General features: G+C 43.1%; 1 protein-coding gene across 2 annotated transcripts in view, besides 3 other annotated features; it reads right to left on the bottom strand.

The window, feature by feature from the left end:
* The window catches only part of FDX1 (ferredoxin 1), a 35554-nt gene extending 27028 nt beyond the window's left edge, over positions 1-8526 (bottom strand). The window contains exons 1-2 of one of the 2 annotated variants that reach the window (XM_047426566.1): positions 8504-8526; positions 1899-2023 (exon numbers count right to left, since the gene is read on the bottom strand). In XM_047426566.1, the coding sequence (XP_047282522.1) occupies positions 1899-2023; positions 8504-8511 (133 nt within the window). In that variant the 5' untranslated portion in view covers positions 8512-8526. Of the gene's footprint in view, positions 1-1898; positions 2024-7551; positions 7910-8503 lie in introns of those variants that run through there. The other variant, NM_004109.5, reaches the window with a different exon arrangement.
* Positions 7096-7375: an enhancer, noted in NCBI's record as "active region_5503". NCBI's record gives its function as "activates an Ori minimal core promoter by ATAC-STARR-seq in GM12878 lymphoblastoid cells {active_cell/tissue: GM12878}" and the evidence as "EXISTENCE:reporter gene assay evidence [ECO:0000049][PMID:35858748]".
* Positions 7446-8095: a silencer, noted in NCBI's record as "silent region_3891". NCBI's record gives its function as "represses an Ori minimal core promoter by ATAC-STARR-seq in GM12878 lymphoblastoid cells {active_cell/tissue: GM12878}" and the evidence as "EXISTENCE:reporter gene assay evidence [ECO:0000049][PMID:35858748]".
* Positions 15926-16126: a silencer, noted in NCBI's record as "peak1468 fragment used in MPRA reporter construct". NCBI's record gives its function as "represses an SCP1 promoter by STARR-seq MPRAs in K562 erythroleukemia cells {active_cell/tissue: K562}" and the evidence as "EXISTENCE:reporter gene assay evidence [ECO:0000049][PMID:32103011]".

Below are 20764 nucleotides of genomic sequence, written 5' to 3'. Positions count from 1 at the left end.
ACTGGGTCCCATGGACATAAAGTTGGGAACAGTAGATACTGGGCACTACCAGAGGGGGAAGGGAGAGGGGCAAGGAGGAAAACTACCTATTGGTTTCTAAGCCTACTGCCTAGGTGACAGGATCACTCATACTCCAGACTTCAGCATCACATGATACATCCATTTAACAAACCTGCACATGTACTCCCTGAATCTAAATAAAAGTTGGAAAATAAAAAGACATGAACAGACACCTCTCAAAAGAAGACACAGACATAAAAGCGGCCAACAAACATACGGAAAAATGTTCAACATCACTAATCACCAGAGAAATACAAATCAAAACCACAATGAGATATACCATCTTGACTTCAAGACAGGTTTGAGTCTTAGCCCTCTCACTTGCTGCATGTATAACCAGGGAAACTTAATTTCCATGAGACTCAAGTTTCTTCAACTATCAAATGGAGAGTTAAAAAAAAAATCTACTTCATTTAACATATGCTAGAATATAGTATACACTCAAATTCTAGTTGTTATAATTATTTTAAAACTAGCAAAAAATACTTAGATTCAGTATTCAAGGCTGGGCATGGTGGCTCACGCCTGTAATGCCAGCACTTTGGGAGGCCAAGGCAGGAAGATCTCTTGAGCCCAGGAGTTCAAGACCAGGCTGGGCAATGTGGCAAAACACTGTCTCTACAAAAAATACAAAATTCAGCCAGGTGTGATGGTGCACCTGCAGTCCCAGCTACTCAGGAGGCGGAGTCAGGAGGATCACTTGAGTCCAGGAGGTCGAGGCTGCAGTGAACTGTGATTGCACGACCGCACTTCAGCCTGGGTGACAGAGCAAGATCCTGTCTCAAAAAATTTTTAAAAAGATATTCAGCAAATATTATTGAGTGCCAACTCTGGACAAAGCCTACTCCATGAGGTGACTCAGGTAACCTCATGGAGTACAGTCTTTCAAAAACTAATAATCTAATAAGAAAGATAGCCATTCTCTCTAAAAAGGAAAACTGTTATAAGCATTAACAAAGAGAGGTAGATTTAATATATCATGGGAAAACAGAAGAGAGATAAATTAATTCTGATCTAGAAATGGTTCTTTAAAGGATAATGTGAACAGTGCCTTGAAAGAAGCAGAGTCAGATACGCTCCTTGAACCTTATTCCAGACCAGTGGTTCTCAAACTTGAACATGCATCAAAATCACACAGACAGCTGTTACAACATGCAATGCTGGACCTACCCCAGACTTTGTGACTCAGTAAGTCTGGGGCGGGGGTGGGGGCGGTGGGTGGGGGAGGAGTGTCTGAGAATCTGCATTTCCCAGGTGACACTAATGCTAACGGTCAAGGAAACCCTCTGAGAACTGCTAATCTAAACATGCATTGCTTGAACAAAACTGACAGGTCATATACAGGGTACGCCTGAGGAAGTGTAAAAGGGCAGTTGCAGGAACACAGGCTTTGCACGTGTAGTTAAGGCATATGGTCAGAAGTCTAAAAATGAAAACTTTCTAAATAAATCACTTTCTAGGATAAGTTACCTTTCCTAGGAAGGTGAGCTGACATTCAAGATATTTAAGTACCCCTCTGTGCTATGACATTTATTCTCTCTAACCTGGTATCTTTTAACTCTACTCCCTACCGTCGGCTTTGTATCACACATATAAACAGTAAGGTAATGAGGCCACAGCAGATTTCTGGCCATGACTTATTTAAATGTACAAAGAACAGAACAATGGTGTCACTCTATTATTCTTTATAAACAAGAATATAACACTAACACATCCTGAATGTTAATATTTTACATAGCATGCTATAGGTTAAACTTCTTCAAAAAAAAAAACCACAAAATAAAAATTTGAAACCTAACAGTTTCACTTATGCATTTTAAGAAATGTTTCATACTCACCAAAGCCATCAATATCTAGATTATTTTCAACCACAACATCTAGCAGAGAATCACCAACTTTTCCTTTGGTTGTTAATGTTTCACCATCACGGTTTATAAAGTGGACTGTTATTTTATCTTCTGAGCTGGAAAAAAAAACAGTCCTTTAGTATTTTTAGTAATTTCAAAACATAATTTAAAATAATTGGTTTAAAAGCCTATAAGGCCTCCAGAGTAGATGGGAATACAGGTGCCCAGCACCACGCCTGGCTAATTTTTTTTATTTTTATTTTTTGTAGTGACGGGGTGCCACCATGTTGCTCAAGCTGGTCTCAAATTCCTGGCCTCAAGCCATCTTCTCAACTTGGCCTCCTAAAACTCTGAGATTACAGGCCTGAGCCACCATGCCTAGCCGAAGGTATTTTCTTTTCTTTCCAAAGCTTATTTGGAAATCAAAGGCATATATATCTACCCACCTACCAGGTAATAAGCTCTACTACCTTACAGGAAATGGCAATGACTACCTGGTCAACGCCACCTGGTGGCCTCAGTATATGTCTCCCTAATAGTCACAGTTATAAAACATTTGGCAATTATTATCACTCATGAACTCTATTTTACTCTCATACAAGCCAGTGCAGTAGCTTGCACCTGTAACCCCAGTACTTCGAGAAGCTGAAGTGGGAAGATTGTTTGACGCCAGAAGTTTGAGACCAGCCTGGGCAACATGGCAAGATCCCATCTTTACAAAAAATAAAATAATTAGCCAGGTGTGGTGATGTGATCTGTAGTCCCAGCTAATTGGGAGGCTGAAACGGGAGGATCCCTTGAGCCCAGGAGGAGGAAGAGGCTGCAATGGGATATGATTGCACCACTGCACTCCAGCCTGGGCAACACAGCAAGACCCTGTCATTTAAAAAAGAAAAGGCCAAGTGTGGTGGCTCATACCTGTACTCCTAGCACTTTGGGAGGCCGAGGCAGGGGACTGCTTGAGCCCAGGAGTTTGAGACCAGCCTGAGCAACACAGAGAGACCCTATTGCTACAAAAAATAAAAATAAAAATGAGATGGTTGTAGGTGTATGAAAAATAAAAGGCATGGTGGTATTTGCCCATAGTACCAGCTACTCATGGGGCTGAGGTGGATCACCCGATCCCAGAAGTTCAGGGCTGCAGTGAGCCGTGATTACACCATTGCACTCTAACCTGGGCAACAGCTCAAGGCCCTGTCTCAAAAAAAAAAAAAAAAAAAAAAACAAAAAAAGTCATCACACAGCTCTCTGAAAAACATGAATGTGTCCATAAAAGACTAGACCAGGGTTGTAGTGAGCTTCTAAAAAGCAAATCATGGCCGAGCATGGTGACTCACGCCTGTAATTCCAACACTTTGGGAGGCCAAGGCGGGCGGATTACCTGAGGTCAGAAGTTCAAGACCAGCCTGGCCAACATGGCGAAACCCCGTCTCTACTAAAAATACAAAAATTAGGCATGGTGGTACATGCCTGTAATCCCAGCTACTCGGGAGGCTGAGGCAGGAGAATCGCTTGAACCCGGAAGGCAGAGGTTGCAGTGAGCCGAGATCAAACCACTGCACTCCAGCCCGGGTGGCAGAGTGAAACTCTGTCTCCAAAAAAAAAAAAAAAAAAATCAATAGGGCGATTGCTTTTCCAGTGCTACATAGAATACTACTGCTGAGAGATGTTGTTTAGTAGTTTTCTGCGTATTTGACATCTCATTTCAGTCCACATTGTATACTTACAAATCAAAGGGACTAGAAAAAGTTTATTTGTTTGAATCTGTAAGATAAATACCTCCTTACATGTTTTTTTAAGATAGTATGTTAACTATCAGCTAGCTGACTTAAATTTCCTTCACTTCTCACAAACATCCCTCCAAAATTTGAGAAGCCATTATACTAAAAACTAGATCCTTATTCCTCCACCATTGGTCATTTTAATTTTTACCTCACACTTGAAAAGATTCTCTTCAACTTAAAATAATGAGTTGTTATTCTTATTACTACCAGTAGATGGCAATAGCCCATCAAACAAATCTTTAAGTAAAACTCAGAATTAAATAATTTCAGAGCCATAACTATCTCGAAAGTTATCAAGTCCAGTGATCCCATTTCACAAATGAGGCAACTGAAGCCCCACTGGGATAATGCCCTCCCTAATATTATAACACTGGGAAAAAAAACAGGATTCTATTCATTAAAACTCATCAAAAGGGTGTGTGTGTGTGTACCAGAATGTTCCTCAAAAGGGCCTGCGCTCTCCAACTTCTTTTCACAGCCAAAACATGCTTTAAAACTAGTATTCCCACATATTATTCATAATTTTCAACATGAATAACTGCCATTTTTTTCAAAGTACAATGGCTGAGAATGAAAATACCCTAGAGGCAGGGAGGCCACTTTGGAGGTTATCAAAACAGCATAAACTAATCAGGGACAGAGAATGCAGTGACTTAACAGACATCCAGGAGGTAGACCAAAAGGTTTTAGTGACCATCTACATAAGATAAACTGAAAAGCGGAAAGAAAAACATTGGGATTTCCAGCTCACACAATTAGGTGGTACCATTTAACCTAGGTTTAAGACAGGAACCAAAGGAACTTTGGGGAAGACAGAAATAAGTTGAAGCTTAGACCTGCTGAATTTAATAATGAAAAAGCCAGATGAGAATGTCCAAACACCAGATGGCAATATGGGTATGGGTCTGAGCCCAGCAGAGAAGTCTAGAGATTTGACATCAACGAATGCCTGGTAGCTAAAGCTACAGGAAGCACATTAGAAAGAATTCCATCATTTATACACACTACTGAAAGCCAGAGGTTTCAGCGTTGCTGTTCTTCTGAAGCACTCTAGAGCTAAGCTTACAGCAAAGGAATTCGAAATCTCTTACATCAGCCTCCTCTTCTATAAAATTGGACAACATTAATCTTATAGTTCTGACAATGTATGCAAAATACGTAACACATAGTAGAATTCAACACACACTGATTAATAACTGTTATTTAAAGACCAAGCCCTTTTGCTAAGAAGCCCAACCTGTTGGTCTGTATTAAAGGTAAACAGCCCTACAAAAAACTGCCAAGTAAGAGTATTAACAGGTTTACCAAAGAAGAGGAGAGGAGGCGGAAACGAAAGAAAAATGTAATTCTTAAGTTGAAAGAGTATGGAACCTAAGAGTCAGAAGATGTAGACCCTATGCTGGGAGTGGTCACTCACGCCTGTAATCCCAATACTTTGGGAGGCTGAAGCAGGCAGATTACTTGAGGCCAGGGGTTCCAGACCAGGCTGGTCAACATAGTGAAATCTCATCTCTACTAAAACTACAAAACTTAGCCGAGTGTGGTGGCACGCGCCTGTAATCCCAGATATTCGGGTGGCTGAGGCACGAGAATCGCTTGAACCTGGGAGGTGTAGGCTGCAGTGAGCCATGATGGCACCACTGCACTCAGGTGAAGAGTACACCAACACCTCCAAAATCACCACTAAAGAACTAACCCATTAACCAAACACCACCTGTGCCCCCAAAACTACTGAAATTTTAAAAATAAATAGAAATTTAAAATTTTTTTAAAATCCGCAAAAACTTCTTGAGTTCTAGTCCTAGTTTTGCCAGCTACTTAATATGAAATTTTTATTCCCATTTATCTACCCTCCCTACCTCATAGAATTGTCTTAAGAGTCATACGAAACAATACACGTGAAAGATCTTTGCTACCTGAATCACTGCAAACCCCCTTGTGTCACGGTATTTTAGAGTAAAAGGAGTTTTTCTGACTCTCAATTACTGATAGCTTATCGAGTTGTTAAACTTCAAAGACAGAACTACAGTTTCTAGAACTGCTCTGTCTGTCTATAAGAACTTTGTGCCATAACAAAGATGTTCTACACATACTTGCAATGTCCAATACAGTAGCCACTAGCCACATGTGGCTACTGAGAACTCGAAATGTGGCTAGTGTAACTACGAGATTGAATCTTTAATTTTATTTACCTTTAATTATGTTAAACTTCAATAGCCACATGTGATTAGTAGTTACGGTAGTTACAGCACAAGTCTCATTAACACAGTAAGAACTGGAAAATCCAGTTGTAGCTCCAAAGTCTGTAAGAGGAATGATAAGACCATGAATAGAAATTGTGCCAATAAAGAGGGCAGCAGGATTATGAGGAAATAGACGTGCTCCCCTTTAAAACAACCTGACATATCCAAATCCAAAAAACAAATCTGAGAAAGATAACTCCCAATTACTACAAAAACATTCATGTTCCCTTATACCAGTTACACAAGCATGTTCAATATCTGTCCCAATTGATTCAGTTGTCCAAAACTCATCCATTGTATAACAGAAAGCAAGGTACCCACACTGGTCAAAGACAGGGGGGGAAGTGCAGAGGAAACAGGAACAAATAAATCTGGCTTGCCTTCTCCCTGATTTCCCCCAAAGTTCACACAACAAAAATGTATGGAGCACCCACTAGATAACGGGATTAGTGGGGAAAAGATGACTGAAAGTCTTAGACCCTGCTCTCAGAGACCTCAAAAAGAAACTAGACAAAGCAGCGTACAAATCCAACACACTCTCCCTCTAGTTCTCGATTCCTGCTACCCTACATCATGCGGTCAAAGAGCTGTCGAGAGATCTGCATTATATAAATCGCCACCATGTTGGTAAAAATTATGTGTAAATTGTATCTCTAGTATATCTAAGGAGTGTCTTTGAAAAACAAATATGCCCAAGAACCTAAAACTTCAACACATTTGGGATAAATTGTCACATTTCTTTCAATATTTAATACAAAACTCTCTTAACATTGTGAACCTAAGAAGCTGCTGCTGCTGCTGCTGCTGCTGCTGCTGCTGCTACCAAGTGGCATCTACTGAGCCCTCATTACGTGCTAGGCACAAGACTACCTGTATCGCTGTATTAACTCATTGATTCTTCAATTAACCATAGGAGGTCTACACTGTTATTATATCCAACTTGCAAATGGAGAAACTGGGTTCCTAAGGACTGACCAAGTTAGGCACGTCAGACAATCAGTGCCAAAGCCAAGTTTCAAGTCCCGGCAGATTACTTCAACGCAGGGGCTTTCAACACTTGAGCAACTAGCAAAGGGCCTACAGGGCAGCAGAGGGTATGGGCTGGGTGTATTCTACCTGGACACCCCCTGACAAAGACCTGGGACCTGGGTGTCCTCTCAAAGCAGGGCAAGGCCCTGAAAAAAACAGCTGGCAGGTGTGTCAGGCCAGGACAGCAGGAGGGAAGCCTGTCGCGAAGGTCACTGCCAGTTTCGGGCAGAGCAAAGGTCAGATCCCAGACAAATCACACGGAGAACAAGCAGCAGCAAAGTCCCGGCTTTCCTCAGGGCACGGGAAGCGCTGGGAAAGGGAGCTGGGCGTCCAGGGTCCCCGATTCCCGCCGGGAGTGGGTGATGCGGAAAGGAACTCTGCGGTGCGACGGAAGGGAGGCAGCGACGCCACCGAGCAGCGAGACGGAGCCGCGAGAGCACCCCAGAAGAGGGGGGCGAGAGGCAGGCCTCCGGGGTGTGGGCCCGGCGCGCAGAAGGCACTGGAACCAGAGACTCGGCCCAGAGAGCCAGGCGCCACCCACCGGGGACCCCGGCCCGCGCCGGCGATCGCGCCCGCACGGCGCCCTACCTGCTCCGGGCCCGCGCCGACACGCTCAGCGACCGGCTCGCCTCCGCGCTCCCGCCCGGCCCCCGGTTCCTCAGCAGGCCGCTGGATCCAGCGCGGGACCCAGCGTGGTGCAGCCACCGGCCGGCCGGGCCGCCGAGGACAGCAGAAGCGGCGCGCAGCAGCCGGGCGCCCCCAGCGGCAGCCATCGCCCGCGGTCGGGAACTGCCGGAAGCGACGCAGGCCGCGCTTTGAGGCCGCGAGAGACTCCAAAGAGGCGGGGGCGGCAGCTGCGGCGCAGACGCCCGAGGGCCGCGGCGAGGGGCGCGGGGCTGGAGTGGCGGAGAGACCCTGCTGGAAGCACCGCGCCGAGGTTCCGCGTGCCTTCCGGGTGACCTATAAAGACATTGGCAAGCAGAGCGCGGCCCCGCCCCGCCTCTCACGCCCACGCCGCCCGGTCCCATGGGGCGGGGCCAGCGCAGGGGGCCTTTACCAACCCTCCAGGTTCCGTTGTAAGCTGGATGCTTTTTTAGCGGCTGAAGTTGCCGTGCAGAAACAAAATATTTTGAAAGATAGCTGGACGTCTAGCGGAAATCGGTTAGCTAGACCACTGTGTTCTGTTCCGCATACCCCCATCCCCTAGCCGTTAAAAAAAAAACTGGGAAATTGTGTCATCTTGGAGTCAAGTTAGAGCAAAGTGAATTCTGCCCACTGTAAAACAAAAACAGTGGGAAATTTTGGAAAATCTCAGAATGCTATTATACAAAGAAATAATTATGACTATAAAATTGTAAATGAAATTAATGAATAGGCTTGGGGCTCCTGCAGAGGACAGGTAGCCATCCTAGACCTTGACTGGCAAGTAAATGCTGGCTGAGTACATGAAACCCACGAGACTGAACCGGAAACTTTGTGATGAGCTGAGATCTCTAAAAGACTTTCACAAAAAACAGAAAAGATGAACTTTAAAATACACCTTATCATGGTTCATATGTTGTGGGAAATGCATGGGCTTTAAGGTCAGAAATAGCAATGTTCAGATCCAAGATCTACTGCTTTAGAGATCTGAGACCTTGGAAAAATTATTCTCATGGAGGATCAGAGTTTCCATAACTCTCAAACACAGATAAGATGTTCCAGCCTTCAGGGCCATTCTGATGTTAATCTAATACGCAATGCACACCGTGCGTCACAAACCAGGAAGGCTACCGCTTCCTGGGCCTTCCTCCATCAGGGTACTCATAAAGAGGCTAAAGGCCAAAGTCAAGGGGATATTGCAGATATGCTAAACACAATCAGATACTTTTTTTTTCTTTTTTTGACATGGGGTCTCTCTATTCTGCCCAGGCTGTAGTGCAGTGGCGAAATCTCGGCTCACTGCAACCTCCGCCTCCCAGGTTCAAGTGATTCTCCTGCCTCAGCCTCCCGAGTAGCTAGGACTACAGGCGTGTGCCACCACACGCCACTAATTTTTGAAGATTCAGAACAAGAAAGTGTAAGCATGAGTAAAGTATCTGCGGACAATGTATGGTGCTTTCTGGAACCCAATGGCAGAGAGAAGGCAGTGGCTCCTAATTGCCTCAAATCGTTGGATGAAGAGAAAGTCTTTCAAGCTGCGAAGGGCACAGCAAACCCTGACAAGTAATCTTGAAGAGGAGGTTGTAAAAGAACAGCTAACTTTTGTTTTTAGTAAGACCAAACTTCCAAGGTCGGATGAATTAGTTGTAGGAAGAGAATTGAAAAGAAAAAAAATCGTAGATGTTCTGTCTTCTCTCAGCCCTCCTGTAGCAAATACAGTTTCAACTCCCTTAAGGCACTTGATAGCTTTCTGCTTTGTAGGGTAGTTATTCGTACACATAGAGTAGTTATTTATATAGTTCATCTTAGTGACTCCGACAGCACCAGCTACAGGGTCTTGAACATATCAAGGGTCTAATAAATATTGGTGAATAAATTGATGTTATGAAATTTCCATTAATAATCATCAGAATTCATTAAGCATGTATATGAAGATTAAAGATAGAAAAAATGTTCTCCAGGTTTTCTAAGGTGGATGAGAAGTAATGCCAAAAATTGCAAATATCAGTAGTCAGCAGAATTCCAGAATGGATTTGTAAACATGATCATGAATACAGATAAAGCAACATGGAATTACTGAGGACGTGCTTTTGCTTATCTGTTTGCTTATGTATTTCTTTGTCTATAAAACTCCCACCCCTCCATCCCTTTTTTTTTCTTTTTTTCCTTAGAGATGGGGTTTTGCCATGTTGCCCAGGCTAGTCTGGAACTCCTGAGCTCAAGCAATCTGCCCACCTCAGCCTTCCAAAGTGCCGGGACTACAGGCATGAGCCACCATGCCCAGCCCATCTTTTACTCCTTTCAAAATCCATTCATTGTTTGAAGACTTTTGTCTTATTCTGTTTATGATGCTATAACAGAATAACACACAGACTGGGTAATGTGTAAAGAACAGGAATTTATTTTCTCACAGTTCTGGATACTGGGTCGCCCAGGTGCCAACTGGTTTAATGTCTGATAGAGAGGCCCAGTCTCTGCTTCCAAGATGGTGTCCTGTTGCTGTGTCCTCACATGCTGCAAGAAGGGCAAACATGCCAATTTCCTCCAACCCTTTTATAAAGGTGTCAATCGAGAAAAATGATGAGACAATTCTCAATCATTTTAGGAGATTGATTTGCCAAAGTTAAGGATGCACGCCCAGGAGACAGTTCTATGCCTTTCTCTGAAGATGATTTTGAAGGCTCCAAATTTAAAGGGGAAAAGGTGGGATATTGAGAAGTACATAATTTTCATGTATGGCGGGATAAGGAAAAATAGTCATTCATACCCTTGTCTAGCTCAGTGCATCTGCTTTTTTTTATATATAAGATGACAGAGACAAATGGAGCAGAGGAAAAATGCAGGAAATCTACATTTTTACGTAAGATAGCATAGGCAAAATGGGGCAGGGGAACAATGAGATATTCATTTGTGTTTGGTGGGCAGCAGGGTGACTGCATCTGTAAAGATAATCTATCCATTTACATTGCCATGGTGAAATTTTAACAGAAATACCTTAAAAGATCTTGCAGCTCACTAGGAATTTCTTTGTGGGCAAAATATGGAGGAGACATGTAGCTTTTCATCTTGTAGCCATCTTATTTACAAACCAAAAGGGGGACGCAGATTTGCATGACCCAGTTCCTAGCTTAACTTTTCCCTTTGGCTTAATGAGTTTGGGGTCTCAAGATTTAATTTCCTTTCACATTTTCCCTTCTTTTTCTTTAAAATCTTTTGGAGAAAGCATTTTAGAAGGAATACAGCTTTCTGGCCTAGGGTTGTTTTTTCTTCCTTTTCTTTTGAGCTGGTTTCTCCTCACTAGGTTGGTTAACTCCTAGAAGTTCAGGTCCCACGTTGCTATGAAGGCTCATTCCTAAGACATTATGTCCCATGAAGATAAAAAAAAATGGGAAAAAAGAAGGAAAAGAAAAAAAAATACACACACACACACATATATATGTATATATATATGGACCTAGGCCAGATGTATAGCAACAAATAGGAAGCAAACCTGGAAGGTGGGTCAGGTTATATTACTGCCTCCTCAATTAGAGCAATTCCCTGGGCAATCATTACCCTAGCCCTTTCAGTTGTGTGTGGACTTATTTGCAAGCACATACCTTAACAACACTGTAAGCAGAAACAGGACAGAACAGAAATTATTATTATTATTATTATTCCTATTATAAGCAACAGCTTCTGCCACCAACTTCCCCAGGATGCAAACCAATCACTCAACCAATTGATTAGTGAGGGTTTTGGATCTGACAGGTTGGTTTTCCGGGGTTTCATATCAGTCATAAGTCAGGTTATGTTCTTCGATTCATGTGGAATATACACACAGCATTCAGCTTTTATGATGGTGCAGGCCCCCCGCTGTGCTGCTGTGAGTATATCTGAGGCCATATGGTTTTGCAACACAGCTTTCCTCAAAAGCATGACCTCATTATTTAGCAACGGGATACTCATCTGGCTATCATTTAGGGCCTTTTTGGTGTAATTCATTAAGGCCTCTATAGGCCATATAATGTCTTCAATACTTAGCTTCAATCTTCAAGTGATCATGCCCCTGGAATACTGAACGTGTCCAGTGAGATCGTAAATGAAAAAGGCTTGCTGGTTTTGGCAGGGTCTGAATTATTCACCCCTGTTCTCAAGCGTAACCTGGGGAACATTTTCCTAATCACCCTGGAGGTGACCACAGCCGTAAGTTAGTACCACACAGCCAATATGTCCCATTTGGAGCTAGCCAATAAATACCTAGTTGCTACAACCAATCGGTGGCATGCCAGTCAATGTCTTGTAATATGATAATGTGGTCACAGCATTCTCCCAGTATCCACCCCATATTTCTCATACTTTCTGGCCATAAATCCTTGGTGTGGTTTCTTTGCTCCCAGCATTTTGGCTGAGTTGGCCAAATGAAGGGGTGAGCCAGAGAAATTCATCCCAAATTTGCATTATTCCATTTTGAAATGGGCTGTTGTTTGGGGCATAATTACCACCTTTTTTTTTTTAGTTGTGGGGGATGCTAAAGTGAGAGCTAATGAGCTGGTCCTTTCCATTGAAAAACTTTTCCCATCTTCCTTGTTCTCTTATGCCAGCACTAAGAATACCAGACCATTTCTGTGATATAATAAATTTTTGGTCCTAACCTTGGAAGGAGGATACCTACCATGGCAGGCCAGAGCCACTGGAAAGAGGCATGAGTCTGTATATCCAGCAGGTGTCCTTTTGTAATCTGTCTGCATACTCCTGAGCCTATTGTAGAAACAGGTTTGTTTCACTGGAGTCAGTGGGTGAAAATGGCAAGAAGGTGTAGGGATATAGGGTCAATAATAGCAAGGTTGTAAAATTCATTTAGCTACTAAAAGGATGTTAAATCAGACAAGGCAAGTGTCCTGTTCTTTGTAAGACAGCAGTTGCCAGTAGCTCTGGGACAATAATTGTCATGGTTATTATACAATAAACATAGGCATTCTTTTGTTTACAGGCCTTGTCCTGTGTCTTGGGGTTAAACAGTCCACACAGCTGTCATCTGCTTCTATGCTGGGTTGAAGGTCAATGTTTAGTGAACTGGAGGTGAAGGTCTTTGATAGGAGTTACAGTCCACTCAGGAGTTTGTGTCTTTTTAAGATGAGAGATGTGAATCCATGAGGCTATACCCTCTAATTTTGTGGCACGTAGATTAGTTAATAGTACCTAGTATGGGCCTTTCCATCGAGGTTGAAGAGAATCCCTTATTAAATGTCTTTTTCAATAGACCAAATCTCCAGGCTGCAGATCTTGACCAGGCACCTTATCTTCAGGGAGCACACTGTGAAAGGAATTCTTTACCAAATCTTGGCTTTTTTAAGATGATAAATGAATCCCTCCCAATATTGTGATATATCTCCCTTGAGAAAAGTTGGATTAGTTATTTTCATTCCCATACATATGGGCCTTCCAGTTATAATTTCATAAGGGGACGGTTGATGTTTTCCAAGAAGGGTGGATTGCAGTATAATCAGCACTAGGGCGAGTGCTTTGGGCCAGGGGAGGTGAAATGCCTCTGTGAACTTAGCCAATTGTGTTTTAATTATTCCATTGGTCCTCTCCACCAGGCCTGAGGACTGGGGATGGTAGGCACCCTGAAAATGTTGAAATATGGCCAAACTGTACAAATATTTTGAAAAATCTGGCCAGTAAAGTGAGTTCCCCTATCACTGCGAAGTTCACAGGGGACTCCCCATAGTGGAGTCATTTTTTTTAGTAGGATTTTTCCAACTGACGTGGCTGTTGCTTGCCTGCAGGGAAAAGCTTCAACCCAATAGGAAAACATGCAGACCATTACTAAAACACTGATAACCTTCAGATGATGGCAGCTGGATAAAATCATGCTGCCACACCTCAAAAGGTCTGGCCGGAAGGGGAAAATGACCCTGGGCCCCATGGAGGGGTTTTCCTGGATTATATTTGGGACAAATAGCACATCAAGAGTAAGCTTTTTGTGCCACTGTGAAGGATGGTTTCCAGTAATATTGTTTATACCAGGATATAATTTTATCAGGATTCCAGTGGGTTAGGTTGTGAACATATTCCATAAGGGACACCTGACATCCTATTGGAATAATGGGTTTATTATTAGGTCCACACCATATTTCAGTTTCGGGAGACAAAAATCCCCCTGCCTGTTTCCAAGTAGATTTCTCTTTTGTAGGAGCTATGTTCTGGGTTTCTTTCAACATGTTTTTAAGTGTTTCAGGTTTTATGGCCATTTCCCAAATTGGGGCTGGTGGATCAAATGCTACCCTTTTAACTGTGATATCAGCCAGTTGGTTACCCCGACTTTCTGTGGTGTCTGACAGTGACCTGGGATTTTTATAGCTGCCAACGTTTTGGTTTTAGAATAGCTTCTAACAGCTCTGATACTTGTTGTCCATTTTTTATGAGTTGCCCTGAGGAAGTTAAAATATCCTCTCTCTTTCCATAGCCTCACAAAGTCATATGCAACCCCAGAAGCCTAGCACTGTCAGTATAAATGTTTGCAGCCTTGTCTTTTGCTAATTGACAAGTTCAGATCAGGACAATCAATTTGGCCACTTGAGCTGATCTGGCTTGGGGAAGAGGACTGGCTTCAATTACCTCTAGTAAGGAAACCACAGCATATCCTGGTCTAAAATTTCCATTCTTTCCTCTTAAATAAGACCCATCTGTATACCATTCTGTCTCAGCATTATCCAGTGGCATCTCTTGTAGGGCTGTCCTGGGTGTGAGAAATAGGTCAGTTACCAGAACACAGTCATGACGGGTTTTGTTGGAAGGGCCCAGCAAGAGTGGCCAGGTTAAGATTATTACAGTGGGAAATGGTAATATTGGGAGATGATAAAAGAATAATTTCATAAGAGGCTAACCAGTTGACAGAGAGATGTTGAGTATGATGAGAGTTTAGAAGGGTTTCAAGAGAATGCAGCACAAAAATGTTAAAGGGGGAACCCATATTTGTTTCTTCAACAGACTTTTACAGAAGGGCCATGGTTGCTATTGCTCTCACACAAGGAGGCAGCCCTTGAGCCACAGGGTCCAGCTGTTGGCTATGATAGCCTCTAGGTCTCTGCTGATCATCAAGTTTCTGGGTCAGTACCCTAGATGCAGTACCTCTGAATTCACGTATGAAAAGGGAGAAAGGCAATTTGTAGTTTGGGTGCCCTAAGACTGGGGCATTAGAATTTCCTTTATCTGTTGTACATCTGATTTTCCCTCTGGAGTCCACATGATGGGATCAGGTTGTTCAATTTTTAGGTACGCATACAGAGGTTGAGGTATAAGGGAGAAATTTGGTATCCAGTTTCTACAATAGCCTGCCAGGCCCAAAAGTCCTCTAAGTTGTTTCCTGGTGGTGGGCATTGGGAAAGCTAAAATTCCTCTCACTCTATCAGGGTTAATATTCAGTCCTTTGACTGAGATAATATGCCCCAAATACTTAAGTTGCAGTAAGCATAGCTGCAGTTTGTCTTTAGACACTTTGTGTCCCTTGGTGGCTGACTAAATATAGACTATCTTCCAGAGAGGAAGAGAGTATGTCTGAGCAAAGGAGAAGGTCATCCACATACTGGATGAGTGTTGAGCCCTGGGGAAAAATTAATCCTCTAAATCAACTTTTAATATTTGGGAACAGTAAACAGGACTTTCTGTATACTCTTGGGGGATTACAGTCCACATATATTGCCATTTTTTCCAAGTAAAGGCAAACAAATACTGGCTGTCCAGATGTACAGGAGTACTAAAGAAAGCACTGCAGAGATCCACAACTGAGAAATACTGACTGGTGGTAGGTAGAGCTGATAGAAGGGTATGTGTCGTGGGAAGTCAGGGACCCCGAATGGAGGGACCAGCTGAAGCCATGGCAGAAGAACATAAATTGTGAAGATTTCATGGACATTTATTAGCTCCCCAAATTAATACTTTTATAATTTCTTATGCCTGTCTTTACTGCAGTCTCTGAACATAAATTGTGAAGATTTCATGGGCATTTATCACTTCCCCAATCAATACTCTTATTATTTCCTATGCCTGTCTTTAATCTCTTAATCCTGTCATCTTTGTAAACTGAGGAGGATGTATGTCGCCTCAGGACCCTGTGATAATTGCCTTAACTGCACAAATTGTTTGTAGAGCATGTGTGTTTGAACAATATCAAATCTGGGCACCTTAAGAACAGGATAACAGCAATGTTCAGGGAACAAGGGAGATAACCTTAAAGTCTGGCTGCCTGTGGGCTGGGCAGAACAGAGCCATATTTCTCTTCTTTCAAAAGCAAATAGGAGAAATATCACTGAATTCTTTTCCTCAGCAAGGAACATCCCTGAGAAAGAGAATGCATCCCTAAGGGAAGGCCTCTAAAATGGCCGCTTTGGGGACAGCTGTCTTTTACGATTGTAGATAAGGGATGAAATAAGCCCCAGTCTCCCGTAGCACTCCCAGGCTTGTTAGGACAAGGAAATTCCCACCTAATGAATTTTGATCAGACTGGTTGTCTGCTCTCAAACCCTGTTTCCTGATAAGATGTTATCAACGACAATGTGTGCCCAAAACTTCATTAGCAATTTTAATTTCACCCCGGTCCTGTGATCTCGCCCTGCCTCTGTTTGCCTTGTGATATTTTATTACCTTGTGAAGCATGTGAGCTCTGTGACCCACACCCTATTCTTACACCCTCTCCCCTTTTGAAAATCACAAATAAAAACTTGCTGATTTTATGGCTCAGAGGACATCATGGAACCTGCTGACATGTGATGTCTCCCCCGGACACCCAGCTTTAAAATTTCTCTCTTTTGTACTCTTTCCCTTTACTTCTCAGACCAGCTGACACTTAGGGAAAATATAAAAGAACCTACATGAATTATCGGGGGTGGGTTCCCCCGATAGGTATGGGGGTTGGAGACTACTGGGTCTCTGGGTATTATGATATTTTTTATTACCCTCAAGTCCTGTACAAATCTCCATCCTCTCCCACTTGTCTTTTGTTTTGTTTTGTTTACAGGAAACAGAGCTGTTGCAGGGGCTTGTGGAGGGAATAATGAGCCCCCTTTTTCAGATAATCTTATATGATAGGGGCAATTTAATCTATGGTTTTTTGTCATAGAGGATATTGTTTAAGGTTGGGTAGGGGTTTCTTTGGGTTTATCTCTACCTTTAGAGGAGTGGCTGAGAATATTTTCTCTATATCTGTATGTGACTGAGACCATAAGTGGCAGGGGACATCCTGGAGTAAGTGTTCTGCTTCTGGGGTTAACAGGAAGATTGTGGAAGCCAAAAGGAGTTTTACTGTTTCCTGCTCTTTATTCCAATGTCTTCTCTTCTCCCCTAATATTTCCTTCTCTGTCTCCATTTCACTTTCCTGGTCACAAGGTGACGTTTTAACATTACTAGTACTAAATTGTGGTATATTGTCAGGACATTTTTGAATTTGGTATTTTTGGTGTCCTGGCTCCAGTTCTTAAAAGAGTTCACTTTTTGATGAAAAAGATAATGCCATAATGCCATATGGGCATTATGGATGTTGAGGAGATCCTGGCCCAAAAGATTGACAGGGGCCTCAGGGCATATTAGAAACACTCAAGACAGACTGAGCATGTCACACTTAGAGCCTGTGGTGGGGGAGCTGAACCTAACAAAATGGTAAGGTATAGGTTTGGACTTAAAACATGAGATAGTTTTATTAGACACACCCACCATGTTAATTCTTTCATTACCCCAAGGAATGGGGTTTCTAAATAAGGTGGGATTTATAAGAGATATAGTTGCTCCTGTATCAATTAAGGCAGTTGTAAGCTCATGGTTTATTATTATATTAATCTCTCCCAATTTCTTTGTCAGGGTAGACTATTTGAAGAGGTGAAACCCCTGAACTTCCTTGGAGCACCCCTAGTCTTCCTGAGTTGCACTTACCTGCCTTTTCTTTCCTTTCCATGTAAGGTAGCCTCTTTTAAGGTGTCCTGGTCTCTTAACAGTAGTAACAGACTGGGTGGGAAGAGTCCTCAAACTGAGGCATCTTAAAGTCTTTCCAGGCCTGAGAGGTTTGAGAAGTTAATTGCTTTAGCTGTGAATGCATAACTCGGGCAATCTTTTGTTTTTCCTTTTTTAGCATAGTGCGGGATAATTGGTCAGCTAAGTTAACTAGTTCATTAGTTCTGGCCGTGGCCCAATTTGTCATGTGGCATTTTACAAGGGTGGCTAAATCATTATGTAGTTCATTTAAGAAATTTGCACTTGGCTGGGTGTGGTGGTTCATGACTGTAATCCTAGTACTTTGGGAGGCCGAGGCCGGTGGATCACCTGAGGTCAGGAGTTCAAGACCAGCCTGGCCAACATCGTGAAACCCCGTCTCTACCTAAAAAATATACAAAAATTAGCCAGGCATGATGGTGCATGCCTGTAATTCCAGCTACTTGGGAGGCAGAGACAGGAGAATTGCTTGAACCCGGAAGCCGGAGGTTGCAGTGAGCCAAGATAGCACCACTGCACTCCAGCTTGGGCAACAGACTGAGACTCCATCTCAAAAAAAAAAAGAAAGAAAGAAAGAAAGAAATTTGCTTAATAATGTACCATTTCTATTGTTTTCAAAACAATCAGGTGACATCCTGCAATATTGTCTCAACATTTTATCAAAATGTGTAAAATAATCTAAAACTGATTCAACTGGGTTCTGGCAGCATTGTTGGATTTTATTCCAATCCACAACCCTTTGGAACACTGAAGGAATGATATTTAACAGAGCAGTGGCTCATTTCCGTGCATCTTTGTGCCTGTCTTCTGGATTTTGGGGGGCTCGTTGTTGTGGCTCTGTTGGGCCTGAAGGGGTCAAATCTGCTATAGGGTCTGACCACTGTGATTTTTCCAGCCATTCCTTAGCTTTAGCTTCTGAGACCAACATGTGGACTAGCTGATAAAGGTCTGAAAGACCTGGGTCATAGGTTCTAATAATTAGCTCAAATTCTCATGCAACCCCACTTGGATCTTTATGGGGGTCAGGAAATTCTTTTTTTTTTTTTTTTTCAGACAGAGTCTCGCTCTGTCACCCAGGCTGGAGTGCAGTGGCACAATCTCAGTTCACTGCAACCTCCACCTCCCGGGTTCAAGTGATTCTCCTGCCTCAGCCTCCTGAGTAGTTGGGATAACAGGTGCATGCCACCACACACGGCTAATTTTTTGTATTTTTAGTAGAGACAGGGTTTTGCCGTGTTAGCCAGGATGGTCTTGATCTCCTGACCTCGTGATCCACCCACCTTGACCTCCCAAAGTGCTGGAATTACAGGTGTGAGCCACCATGCCCAGCCAGGAAATTCTTTATGCCTCATAATTCAGTTTTTGACTAGGTTGGTAGACAATCACCAGGGTTCCCGAAATAGGGTGATCATGAGAAATGTCCCTGCAAGGTCCCTCTCCTCCACATCTTCCAATGAGAGGCTGCCACTGGGGCTACCAGAGAATCAGCAGGAGGTAGGGTCTTTGAAGTTAGACTCTCTACTGTCTTCGTTTGAGCCAGTGGTAGACAAGGAGGAGAAGATGGTAGATTTGAACATGCAGGAGAAGGAGGGTACAGATCTGGTTGGGGAAATTCAGAGAGATCAGGGTAGAGTTGGGGTGTTGGTGGAGGTGGGAGAGGTGCCAAGGGGGAAGTAAGGGATTCCCAGGGTTTCTTTAAGAGAGAGAAAAAATTAGAGAGTTCTTGATTATCTTTTCTAAATTGATTGTTGGCCTTCTGTAGGGAGATGAGGAGATCTTCTCCCCTTTTACTCTCCAGGTACCACTGAAAGTACCTCTCCCATTCTGGTTGTTTAGTTTTTGTGCCTGCGTTTTCCATCCTGGTTCACAGGTACACGAATTTGTGCATCTCAAAAGATCCCCATTTAGGCCACTGTAACTTAGAATCTGCTTTAGTTACAGTGGTCCACTTGGTTAAATATTTACATGACAATTCACCACAAGTATTTTGCATATACCTGGCCAGAGTTTCTAAAGGTGGAACTATGGTCCACAGCTGCTGGGGTTTTAGCTAACTTAGAGGACTCATTCCCAATAATTTAGATTTCCCCTTCAGATTTGGCCAAGTCAGGACATGTGTTGGACACAAAGTGTGCTGCTTGCAGACCTAGTTTTTCAGGGTCATTACCCCCAGAACCGGTTCAGTCCACCTGTGTCAGAGCTACCTGGCACAGCATGTCAGGGGCTCAAGGTGCAGGAAAGGTCAGCTCCTTATATGTGCCTGTTTGCTGAGATTAGACCCTAAATATGTTCTTCTGAGGGGGAAACCTACTTAGAGCTGCTGCACATCTTAGGGAGCATTCCTCCCAGACACCCTCACGTGATTCTCAGTTGCCGGAGAATGCCCCAAAGGGCTGAAGGAAGCAAGGTGCTTTTATTTCTTTAGAGTGGAAGATTCCACACTCATGAGCTAGAGGGTATGGAGTTGGTCAAATCCGATAAGGGAAAGGACCAAAACACACACAAAAAAAAACCAACAAGACAGAAACAAACAACAAAACAGTTAAGCAAAACTAGCAATGATCACGCAAATTACATGATTTCTGAATGCTCCAAGTGTAAGCAAAAATTAACAACAGCTAGTTGTTAGTGCTAACTTTATTTGTTTAAAAACAATTTGCAAGACAGAATTCCAAACCAGTTTCTTACCTAATGATGGGGCCCAAGCTGAAGACTGCTTTCCGCCAATGCAGAAGCAGACAGGCTTGCCTTCCTTGATGGAAGTGAATGGAAACTCCTCACAAAAAAGGAGTTTTTTTAAACAGCAAATAAACATCAGACCCCAAATTGAAAAACACTGGAAGATCAGGGATCCCTGGAGGAGAGAGGTCCTGGACTTCAGCAAATCATCCTATCGGTTTGGGCTATAATATGCCCAAGCTGGTACCAAGCACAGACAGGAGAGCTGCTGCAGGCCGGGCTACCTTCACTCAGGGTCCCTTCGTGGTTACCAGATGTCAATCAAGAAAAATGATGAGACAAATCTCATCATCAGACAATCTGCTGATTGGTCCATTTTACAGAGCACTGATTTGTCCATTTTACAGAGTGCTGATTGGCCCGTTTTTACAGAGTACTGATAGGTGCGTTTATAAACCTTTAGCTACTACAGGGCACAGTGGCTCATGCCTGTAATCCCAGCACTTTGGGAGGC

This window comes from Homo sapiens, chromosome 11, assembly GCF_000001405.40.
Source record: "Homo sapiens chromosome 11, GRCh38.p14 Primary Assembly".
Taxonomy (NCBI): domain Eukaryota; kingdom Metazoa; phylum Chordata; class Mammalia; order Primates; family Hominidae; genus Homo; species Homo sapiens.
Note: the sequence above shows the minus strand (reverse complement) of the source record. Positions and strands in the feature narration are given on the sequence as shown.